The sequence below is a fragment of the Homo sapiens genome, chromosome 4 (assembly GCF_000001405.40).
Source record: "Homo sapiens chromosome 4, GRCh38.p14 Primary Assembly".
NCBI lineage: Eukaryota > Metazoa > Chordata > Mammalia > Primates > Hominidae > Homo > Homo sapiens.
The window spans coordinates 152,863,264-152,875,793 of record NC_000004.12 but is presented as its reverse complement, the minus strand read 5'-3'; the positions used below and the strand labels follow the sequence as shown (position 1 = coordinate 152,875,793).

General features: G+C 37.3%; 1 protein-coding gene across 6 annotated transcripts in view; it reads right to left on the bottom strand.

Annotated features, from left to right (window-relative positions):
• The window catches only part of ARFIP1 (ARF interacting protein 1), a 132,404-nt gene that overhangs the window by 36,564 nt on the left and 83,310 nt on the right, over nucleotides 1–12,530 (bottom strand). For 3 of the 6 annotated variants that reach the window (NM_001287432.2, NM_001025595.3, NM_001287431.2), the window contains 3 exons: nucleotides 12,080–12,188; nucleotides 4,946–5,041; nucleotides 3,230–3,342 (listed from right to left, as the gene is read on the bottom strand). In NM_001287432.2, the coding sequence (NP_001274361.1) occupies nucleotides 3,230–3,342; nucleotides 4,946–5,041; nucleotides 12,080–12,188 (318 nt within the window). The remainder of the gene's footprint in view (nucleotides 1–3,229; nucleotides 3,343–4,945; nucleotides 5,042–12,079; nucleotides 12,189–12,530) is intronic. The other 3 variants (NM_001025593.3, NM_001287433.2, NM_014447.4) reach the window with 1 other exon arrangement.

Here is a 12,530-nt window from a genome sequence, read left to right as displayed (position 1 = left end):
TTGAGATTTGGATGGGGACACAGCCAAACCCTATCAAATAGCACCAAGAGCTCTTCTGTAGTGCCAAAAAAAAAAAAAAGAATAAAGATATTTAAGTACAAGCAAAAGAATAAACTTATGGCAACAATTGACAGATACAACAAGGATTATTAAGGTAAGGGATAGAGAAGGTAGCACAAAAGGAAAATGAACAGGGGAAGTAAGTCAACCAATAAATGAATGAGGCAACATGACAAGAAAAACAGGCATGAAAGTTTAAAAGATACTGGTTTAAAGACATCAAAGGTTAACTTGATAAGGGTGTGAATGCTAATGGCAAATTCTTAAACATTAAGAAAAAAGTTTGGGAAAGATGCCAAATAGCTCTGAATGCTGAAACTGAGAGATTATTCTTTTTTTTTTTTTTTTTTTTTTTATAAAAAAAGACAAACTTCAAAAAGCACTCTACTTTAGACTAGGAAAAAATAAAAATCAAAAACTTAAGTAAACCATAGTTTATTATTTCAACTATTTCTGTAGATGAAAATAAATAAGAAAATAGATTTTGGATTCAAATTTTGTGAATAAAATCAGGTAGATTAAAATAATATTTAAGAAGATAGGTTCAATGTCTAAACCTAAAATTGCTCCTATTATATATTTGCTTTGAATCACCATGTTGGTCTTGGGACCAAAATTAACAACCAATAAATGAAGCTAAATATTCCCTTTAAGGAAAAGCATTAAAGCATTTGTTACAGAATAGAAACCGAAGAAATTAAAGGTAGAAAGCATGAAAGAGAGAGGACCAAAGACATAGCCAGAATCAAGTTATTCAAGAGTAAAATGGGGCCGGGCTTGGTGGCTCAACACCTGTAAGTCCCTGCACTTTGGGAGGCTGAGGTGGGAGGACTGCTTGAACCCAGGAGTTCAAGACCACCCTGAGCAACATAGGGAGACTCGCTCTCCACAAAAAATAAGAAATTAGCCAGGAGTGGTGATGCCTGCCTGTATCCCAGCTGCTCAGGAGGCTGAGGTGAGAGGATCACTTGGGTCCAGGTGGTTATGGTTGCAGTGATCCATGATCATACAACTGCACTCAAGCCTGAGTGACAGAGTGAGACCTATCTACACAAACAAACAAACAAACAGTAAATGGATAACAAGCACAGTCCTGAATCAACCAAATCAGAATCAGTATTTGAAGCATTATCCAAATGATAGTGAATGCCCAACATTAGCTAAAATTTGAGCTGAGAAGCTCAAAAAGCAGTAAGAACACAGAGAGTCATGCAGACCCCATGAGGTCATTACACTATGAACTTTTTTTGGTTGAGTGGAATATGTCAGCCTGGACACACTGGACTATTAACTCCACAGAATCATGTAAGTCAGATACTTTCTTTTTCTTTTTTGACCTAGATTAAAATATCCAAGTTAAGTTCTAATGGAAAAAATTGTCATTTAAAAATAAGGTTTAAAGAAAATAATGCCTCCTTCACATAGTACTATACCATATGTATAACATTTTAAAGAGTTGTCATTTTCATTAACACAAATTTTTAATAGGCTAAATGTGGCATATCAATATGAGATAAATATGGAATCTTAATAGTGATTCAATTCAGATTATTGTAGAGATAAGAGATGCAAGAATAGCAGATAATAACACATAAACACATAGGAACAAATAGATAATGAACAATGAAAACATCAACTAAACAACATGAAAGGAAGACTCAAATGAACAAAAAGCTTAAACTTGCTCAGTCTAGTATGAAAGATGAACAAGTAAAATGAAAGGGAATTCCAAGGAGGAGGCAGATATAGTCTTATGAACAAAGTTACAGAAGTATGAGAAAGCACAGATTGTTTAGGAAGTTTCTGGGAAATTTGGTATGAATCACTTGATCCATAGATAGAAAAGAGGCAGAGACAGAGTGGGAAAGGTAGATAGAGGTCAGATTCATGCCACTCTAAAAACAGTGGGGATTGACTGAAGGATTTTAAGCAGGAGCGAACCCACGTTAGGCAGGGTCGAACATGTAGTCTTAGCGAATTGGTTAAGAAGCTGTTACAGTAATGTGAGAGAGTAATAAATATGAACTATGGCTGTGAAGGCTGGGATGGAGGAGAACGGGGAAAAGGTGAAAGAATATTAAGAAGGCAGAATGCATAGGACTTAACGACTGACTGGCTATGTGGAATCAGCAAGAAGATGCAATAGAAATCCGTGAATATTTTAGAAGAAGAGTTTAGTTTAAGCAAGCATCACTTTTTGAAGACTACCACTGGGATTTCTCAGATTCTACACTTTCATGAGCTAAATAATTTTTGGACAGATTCATGTAACATGTTTCAGGGAGGTTTTACCATCTTAAGAAAACCTATACTTTTGTAGAAGACTTCTACATCATATTTTTAAGGTATTAACTGAAAGAATAAATTCACTTCTGTTTTACTGTTGAGAAGATGTAAGAAAGGCCTGTTCTGTATAAAAATACAGACAATTCCTAATTTACCAATCACTAGACCCACAATCAGTTCACGAATATAGGGAGAATTGTGGCTAATGTTCTAACCTGAGCTGCTAGGGCTTTCATCCTAACTATTCCACGAATTCTACAGTCTTGTCCCTGTTAAAATTCAAAAGGTACTAAGTGGATTTGGGGGTTGAGCTGTTTGTAATACATCAAATACAATATGGGTTAAATAATTTGCTTATTTGTTTTATGGAGGGCATAAGAAAAATAATCACCAATTACTCTGAAGCAATGCAACTAAGAATGTTAACAAACTTTAGAAACACAACTAATTTGCAATCTGGTGTTGCCCATATAGTTAATGCTTAGTTATTATAGTAAAATCAGAGAATTTCAAACTTTGGAGAACTAATATACCTCTCTTCACCTTCAGCTCCTATAAAGTATCAAAAGGAGGGGAAGGAGCAAATATATCTATAGTAGCTCTACAGCTAAATAAATTCCAAAGCAGTACATGTCTTCAATTATGTACATTATCGGTTAATAAGCATTTTAATAGCTTTTTTACTCTTTTGTACTAAATTCTTAAATTACATGCAAAGATCAATGATAAAACAAATACTTCATTTTCAAACTGTATTTCTACCATGTTTAGATGGCATTTTCTCTTCTCTATGTGCATTTAATTGCAACATAATGACTTGAATAAACATATAAATGAACTTTTTTAGAGCCATTTAGGGTGGAAACATTAAATAATTACAAACCTTATAGGTGTTTAGACTCCATTTTCTAACAAGTTCTAACTTTTCCATTGCAGGATTTTTAATTTCATCTGCTAGAATAACTGGTCCACTTTTTGTCTGTGTTCTCTGGCCACCTGCAAGATAACAAAAGATAAAAACACAATCCAGATGAAGACAAGCAGGGAAAGAAAACAAAACCCTGATATTGTTCAAATTGAAATTCTTATGCATCTAAAAAAAGAAAAAAAGGTTCCCACAAAGTAAAGAACTAGAACTTCCTGGAATCGCTGAGGATAGTTTCCTAATTACTTAAACAACACTTCTGTCCATTAAACACAAATGCCATGTGACTTATCTGTCTTCTTTAAACAAACAAACAAACAAAAAAACTCTTGCTGCAATCAGCCTTATTTTCTATATAAGCTGCCGCTTACTTCAAGAAAAATAAAATTTCCACAACTAATTTTATACACTAATGACACTAAAAAAGAAGTATCTTGGTCGATAAAAATCTAAAAGGCCACGTATTCCCCACAGTGATCTTTCACTGTAATGTGCAGACTACAACAACAATAGAATGTTGCTATAATTTTGGAGAATTTGAAAAAAATAATTCAAATTTCATACAGTAGTTCAATTCAAATAGTCATTAAAGATATGCTATCACTAGTATGAAAGGCTGGGTTGAAACAAGATCTATATTGTACCTCTTTTTTCTCAAGAGACCACAAAAAAAAGGTAAGAAAACCAAAAAGAGCCATAATGAATAAAGAAGCAGTGTAAATTCCTGACAATGTACTCTTCCAACAATTAAGAATTTTTGATATGAAAGCAACTCTACAACTATATAGTTCTTAATAGTAAAATACTTTTCATAGTCAAAATATTTTTCATTTCAGTTTTTGGATGGAAACTTTCTAATAATTTAAAAAGAATAATGAAATAAGGAAAAGAAAAAATTAGGATCAGCCCCCAGTAAAAATCCCCAAAAATTTCTTCTCTCACTTATTCCTATAATCAGACCAATCTTTCCCATAGCTTTACCAGTCCGAGAACAAGAATGGTATATAAAATAGAACACATTTAAGAATTTACAAAATTCTCACAAAACAAAATATAAATGTTAACATTTCATATAAGAAGAAACGTGGAGTTCATTTTTTCTCCCATTTTTATAGTCCAGTAACGGTAAAGTGCAGAGCAAATTGAATGTAAAGATACTGATTTTCCCAAGTATTTTTCATTGGGTATAACTGGTAAATTAACAGTATTGTGTTGCAATCTGCAAACTATTTGTAAGTTAAAGCTAAAAGTAAGAAGACAAGACCTTTTTCATTTAATCCATTCTTAAAAACAACCAACCTAATTGTTGAAGGTTGTTTTTCCTTTAACTGAAAATAGAAGGCAGAGCTGCAAAGATGAGAGTTTAGGATCAAACAGTAAACCTACAATTTCCAGAGCAAAGAAAGAATGATTTAAAGCAAATCAAATTTTATAATGTTTTAATTTTAAAATGGATTAAGTTTCAGGTGTGAGATACAGCCGAATTATTCTGAAAAGCCACAAAGATAGGATACAGTTAGAAAAATTATTTCCTTTATTGTTAATAAGGCAGCCACCAAAAAAGTCAGAATCACACACACCTAAGAATATAAAGCAAGTGATTATGAAACTGAGTAAATTAGTGTAGCTTCAGCAGTAGCAATAAGTGCTTTATCCAATCAGTGCAGTGAATACCTGCAGGAACAATTAAATCACTTCCTTGCTGAGCCAGTCGACTAGCTGCAACCCTGCTAGGAGACATAACAGATGGCAGTGGCGGTGCTGGGGAACCTGAAAAGGTAGACATTTTAACTGTGAAAATCCTTTTCCTCCTCCACATACTGTACATTTTGAATATAGGGTTACTGATATTTCCTTTAAAATATTCAAACACTAGGATTAAAAGTTGGAATTAATATATTTGTTTTCTTTCAGGGAAGGACTAATAATAAATGTATGCTACCAGGCTCAGTTTTTATATAAACTTTTCATCAAACTATCAAAACTAAACAGAATATGTAACTATATAATGAAATCTGGTAGATGACATCTAACCAGGATTTTAACTGGACTCTACTATTTCCAAAATCAGTTAACAGAATGTGAATACAGTCCCATAGCTGGATGATTTAAAGCTTCAGTAAATATTTCATAACTTGCTACTCTCATATATAAAGGAAAAGCTCTTCAAGTAAAAATTCAAAGGCATGTAAGGGATATTAAAACATGCTCTCATATCTCTTATAAGAAATGTGAATGAACTACAGCCTTCACAGGAATTGTAGCCAAAAATTTCAAATCACAAATCAAATGTCACATAGTGTGTCTCATTGCTATTCATAATGTGGACATAGAGGACCTTCTTCAATTCACCTGGACGCTTGTTAGAAATGCAAAATCTCAGACCCTGCCCAGACCTACTGAACCCAAACCTACATTTTCATAAGATTTCCCCAGGTGATTTGTATGTACTTTGAAATTTGAGAAGTGCTGATGTAGAATATTTTTTGACATTATAAGAATCACTTTTGGAGCTTTTAAAACATACCTGCGATACTCAAAAAGATCTACTGATTATCAGTGAAACAGGCATCTATTCTTTTGCAAAAGCCACTCAAGATGATTCTCAAACACAACCAAGTTTGAGAACCAGAGGAAACAACACAATTTTTGAATGAAACACAACTAAGTTTTAAATTCTAACACTGAGTTTAAAATTCTGGCTCTATCTACCACATGATATCAGGAACACCCTGGCAAATTACTAAACATCTCTGAGCCTTAATTAGCTACAAAGTAAGAAACATTAACTACTGGCTGAGAGCGGCGGCTCATGCTTATAATCCCAGCACTTTGGGAGGCAGAGGCAGATGGATTGCTTGAGCTCAGGAGTTCAAGACCAGCCTGGGCAACATGGCAAAACACCATCTTGCTGGGCATGGTGGCACAAGCCTGTAGTCCCAGCTACTCAGAGGTTGAGGTAGACGGACTGCTTGAGCCCAGGAGGAGGAGGCCGCAGTCAGCCAAGATCGCACCACTGCACTCCAACCTGAGTGACAAAGCCAGACTCTGTCTCAATTAAAAAAAAAAAGAAAGAAAGAAAGAAACACTGACTACCCAACATTGTTGCTAATGTCTAGCATTAAACAAAAAAAGGGAGTAATAGGTTTCTAAAACTGAAAAAATATTAAAGTCCTTCCATGTTTAGCTGAGAATATTTTAATGTCTATAATGTACTTTTATTTCAATTACACTCTTCCCCAGTTCTCTGGAAAAAATACATGCATTAAGTACATAATTAAATTTCCTAATAAGAAAGACATGTCTACTTTCTTTACTATTAGTAATAACTGGTCATATTCCAGATGTACTAAATTCTGACATAGAAACTGTCACGAGTTCTAACAGTATAAAATATACCTTAACTTGAACTGGATCTCACATTAAAATTCAAACATGCAATAGACCTAAACTAAATAGATTGTTGTTAACTTTCAAAATGAGAGATATTTTTCTCTTTAAATCTGTTAAATTATAAAATTTAAAACCAGAAGGGATGATGGAAATCAACTAAACTGTCACATTAAACGGTAAGATTAATGAAGCCCAGAGAAGTTAAAATAGTTTCTTATTAGAGACTCAGATGTTCTGAACACCATAATATCTCCATTATTAAATTCAATATAGAAATCACTAATCTACAAGTTACTTGCTGAGTTGGAAGGCATTTTAATAGGTTATCCAGTTCAATCACCATTTTAAACAAAGACTGTATCTCTACCGTCCAAGGCATAAGGGATTCTAAAATAAAGTGTAAAATAAAAGAAGACCACTGTACTTCCATGTCTTGACCCCAGGAATAGGAGCTCTATTGTTCTAGTTATTACAGTTTCTTAATCTTGCATAAGAAATAAACCATAGCACTACATGGGATGTGTATAATATATATAACAAATGATATGTAAATTTTCAAAGTAAAATAGCAAATGATGTAGTGTGGCTGTAACTGGGACTTCAGCTTTTTTGATTTACCTTCAAAGGTAATTATCACTTTTCTGTATCTTTAATACTTTAACCCTTTAAACAACTGTTACCAAAATCATTCACCAATACCAACTAAAAAATAAATAATAATACAGGATCTCTCAATAATACAGGATCTTACTAACTGGCTAAATTTGGGGAATTAAATCTATTTCATCTCAACAACAAAAATCTAGAAAGATGAATACATATGTGCAAAGATTTATACCCCCATTAAAACAAAACCCTGGTACCAAGTACACTTCACTCTTGTGAGCTTTGATTTATTCATGATTTCCACTATTACTGATTCTGCAACATCTTTGGTGCTAGGCCGATTTCAATATTTGTTGTTTTTAAGCTGAATTTAAGTATAACTTTTTAATTTGCTCTAGATAGATGAAAAAGTAGATGGTTATACTCTTCTTGTTAACTGTTTAAGCAATAGTCATAATTTATCATTTAGTCATCTTTCCAGAGAGCTAACACAGCCCTAATTCCTTTAACATTTTTTCATAAGACCTATTTTCCAGATTGTAACCATTGTATGTTATTCTTTCTCATGTTCATTCCAATTTATCTACATATATCTTAAAACAATCACAACTTTCCAACAAATGCTTAACTAATTTAAGTATAGCAGCAGAATGATTATTTTCCTAATACACTGATCAACAATACAGTTTGGATTTTAAAATGTTTTACAAACTCAGTTCAGAGAGACATATATTACTGCCATTATCACGAAATATATTTTCTTATTCCAATTGGAAGGATTAGGATGTATCTATAAGCAAGTGAAACTGATGGGCATTTTAATGCTCATGTATATCAGTTCATGATGGCCAACTGATTTCAATTATTGTATAATACCATTATACAATAACTTTAAGGGGAAAAATGCCAGCTAAATAATTTCATTAAAAATATTTAAAAGATTGCTTTTACAAGTAATTGTTTCGAGACCCTCTCCCCTCTCCCCTCTCCCGTCTCACCTCTCTCCCTCTCCCCACGGTCTCCCTCTCCCTCTCTTTCCACGGTCTCCCTCTGATGCCGAGCAGAAGCTGGACTATACTGCTGCCATCTCGGCTCACTGCAACCTCCCTGCCTGATTCTCCTGCCTCAGCCTGCTGAGTGCCTGCGATTGCAGGCACGCACCGCCATGCCTGACTGGTTTTTGTGTTTTTTTGGTGGAGACGGGGTTTCGCTGTGTTGGCCGGGCTGGTCACCAGCTCCTAACCGCGAGTGATCCGCCAGCCTCAGCCTCCCGAGGTGCCGGGATTGCAGACGGAGTCTCGTTCGCTCAGTGCTCAATAGTGCCCAGGCTGGAGTGCAGTGGCGTGATCTCGGCTCGCTACAACCTCCACCTCCCAGCTGCCTGCCTTGGCCTCCCAAAGTGCCGAGATTGCAGCCTCTGCCCGGCCGCCACCCCGTCTGGGAAGTGAGGAGCGTCTCTGCCTGGCTGCCCATCGTCTGGGATGTGAGGAGCCCCTCTGCCTGGCTGCCCAGTCTGGAAAGTGAGGAGCGTCTCTGCCCGGCCGCCATCCCATCTAGGAAGTGAGGAGCGCCTCTTCCCGGCCGCCATCCATCTAGGAAGTGAGGAGCGTCTCTGCCCGGCCGCCCATCATCTGAGATGTGGGGAGTGCCTCTGCCCCGCCGCCCCGTCTGGGATGTGAAGAGCGCCTCTGCCTGGCCGCGACCCCATCTGGGAGGTGAGGAGCGTCTCTGCCCAGCAGCCCCGTCTGAGAAGTGAGGAGACCCTCCGCCCGGCAGCCGCCCCTTCTGAGAAGTGAGGAGCCCCTCCGCCTGGCAGCCACCCCGTCTGGGAAGTGAGGAGCGTCTCCGCCTGGCAGCCACCCCGTCCGGGAGGGAGGTGGGGGTCAGCCCCCACCAGGACAGCCGCCCCGTCCAGGAGAGAGGTGGGGGTCAGCCCCCGCCCGGCCAGCCGCCCCGTCCAGGAGGGAGGTGGGGGTCAGCCCCCGCGCGGCCAGCCGCCCCGTCCGGGAGGGAGGTGGGGGGGTCAGCCCCCGCCCGGCCAGCTGCCCCGTCCGGGAGGTGAGGGGCGCCTCTGCCCGGCCGCCCCTACTGGGAAGTGAGGAGCCCCTCTGCCCAGCCACCACCCCGTCTGGGAGGTGTACCCAACAGCTCACTGGGAACGGGCCATGATGACAATGGCGGTTTTGTGGAATAGAAAAGGGGGAAAGGTGGGGAAAAGATTGAGAAATTGGATGGTTGCTGTGTCTGTGTAGAAAGAAGTAGACATGGGAGACATTTCATTTTTTCTGTACTAAGAAAAATTCTTCTGCCTTGGGATCCTGTTGATCTATGACCTTACCCCCAACCCTGTGCTCTCTGAAACATGTGCTGTGTCCACTCAGGGTTAAATGGATTAAGGGCGGTGCAAGATGTGCTTTGTTAAACAGATGCTTGAAGGCAACATGCTCGTTAAGAGTCATCACCACTCCCTAATCTCAAGTACCCAGGGACACAAACACTGCGGAAGGCCGCAGGGTCCTCTGCCTAGGAAAACCAGAGACCTTTGTTCACTTGTTTATCTGCTGACCTTCCCTCCACTATTGTCCTATGACCCTGCCAAATCCCCCTCTGCGAGAAACACCCAAGAATGATCAATTAAAAAATATATATATTTAAAATATCTTAATAGTAAAATTAGTTTTTTATTCTATGTTGACATTTAAATTTTAGAATTGGTGATTAGTCAAAAAATGGTACCAAATTATGCAAAGTAAGCCTTACGTTTTTCAGCACTCTTAGTTTTAGGTACTCAGTCAGCCCTTCCAAATTCAAAATTATCCCTGATATAAGAATGCCATGATGCTTCAGAATGACTACTAAGACACTGACGTGATTGCTCCCTTTATTTTTCTAAACATAAGTATGAAAAGAGAAAAAAATGATGTCAGTAGACAGTCCATTCATTTCACAGCCTAAAGGAGAGGATATTATACTGGATTATCCTAAACGTCTATTTCCAGGACCCATATAGCAGAGAATATACTTCAAAATCTAAACTGTTCTTTAAATAAAGTATTGGCCAACTGTACAATAAAAAATACAGCATACGGCCAGGCACAGTGGCTCATGCCTGTAATCCCAGCACTTTGGGAGGCCCAGGCAGGAGGACTGCCTGAGCTCAGGAGTTGGAGACCAGCCTGGCCAACATAGTGAAACCCCGTCTCTACTAAAAATATAAAAATTAGCCCGGCATGGTGGCAGGCGCCTGTAATCCCAACTACTTGGGATGTCGAGGCAGGAGAATCACTTGAACTCGGGGGCAGAGGTTGCAGTGAGCCAAGATCATGCCACTGCACTCCAGCCTGGGCAACAGAGTGAGACTACATCTTTAAAAAAAAAAAATACAGAATACTAATATCTGCATGAGGGCTATGGTTTACAAAGGCATGGACATAATTGTTTCTTCATTTTGTAAAATGTAATGCAGCATTAAAATTAATATGTGCTTAATTGAACTGAACATAAACTGTAGCTACTACTTTACAGTACTGTCCAGAAAATCTATTTCCCACATCTAAATGTTTACACGGCTTTACTTTCACTCGAGTAAAAAAAAAAAAAAAAAAAAAAAGTTTAAAAAAGTTATCACAAGTAAAAGCATTAAGAAAGGAGCCAATATTTTTCTATTAAAAATAGACATAGATATGAGATGTGTGCAGAAAAGAGTTAACACAGCAGGTCTAACTGCTATCCTTAAAAAGGCTGGCATGCGGCAACTTGAATTTTGGGAGGATTTCCTCCATTGCCAGAATGATTACGAGTGCCTCACTGTGCTTAAGCTGTTTACCTGCAATGTGGCTTATGCTGCTTACCTGCTTTCCTTCTGGAAGTCTAGAATCTTGGTATGTAACAGATGGAGAAACCTATGTGATCAGCCCCCAGTAAAAATCCCAAGCATGGAGTTTCAAATGAGCTTCCCTAGTTAGCAAAATTTCACCTATGTTGTCAGTCTCACTGCTGGAGGAATTAAGCAATTCCTGTGTGATTAAGCTGGGAGAAGACTCTTGGAAGCTTATGCCTAGTTTTCCTCAGACTTAGCTTATGCACTTTTTGCCTTTACTGATCGTGCTTGCTACTCTCATTACAATAAATCATAGCCATGAGTGTCACTATGTAAGTCCTGTGAATTCTCCTAGCAAATTGCTGATTTGGTTAAAAGAATGCTTAAAGAATATTAATTTGGCAGACATGTAAGAACAGCTTGGAAGAGTCAGAAACTGAGGCAAGATCAATCATAAGATACCACTATATCTCAGGTATTCAACAGCTACAGTTTAGGATAGAGAGGTGGTCAAAAGTATGGAGAGAAGGGAGGAAATTTAGGAATAATTAAGAGTAATTAAAATACAAACTTTTAATGAGTGTGGTCTTGGAGACCTCCTATATAACGTAAAAAGTTCATTTTTCTATTTGCTTTGAAATAAGAAATATGTATTTATAAAAATCAACATTGATTTATAAATTTCATGGTTACAAGTTAAAATAATCTACATCTACATTTCTGACATAATTTTTGTTTTTATTTCAGTATTTTATAACCTATTCTTAAATAATAACCAGTGATATCATGTACATTGATCTGTTTATATAAAGGAGACTACTCAAATAATTCTATTACTTAAATTGAAGAGAAAAAGGAATACATTTATAATCAATGTTTTATCACAGAATGAAAGGGCTCCATTCTTGTGCTTTATTAATAAAGGTAGCATTTGGTGAACTTCTCCCATCCTCTATCCCAGCCATCTTTACAAATATATGGGCTCTTACCTTGAAATGCTCCTGCTTCAATAACACCCTCTTTGGTATTGTCAAAGCCATGAGATGTAATTTGGGTTTCTGAGAGACCAAGTCCAGATGGTAATGAATGCTTCAAATCCTTAGCAAGATTTAAATAAAAGAAAAAACTTTGTAAAAAAATCCCACATGACGTAACAGTTCAGAATAATTGTATCCTTTTAATCAAATCTTAGATTATTTTTCTCTCTGCTATGCGGTATTCCCTTATGCTATCATGGCATTCTATAATGATGTATAATCAGCAGCAAATACAGCAAGATTTGTATTAAGTGGTATTGTGTACATCACATACAATACACTTTCATCATTCTGGAATTAAGCAGCAGGCAGATATTAAAATTCAATGTAAAAATTTTAATCTTACTGATACATCAGAAAAATTATTTTAATGAGCAAAATTAAGATCATTCAATTTCCATGT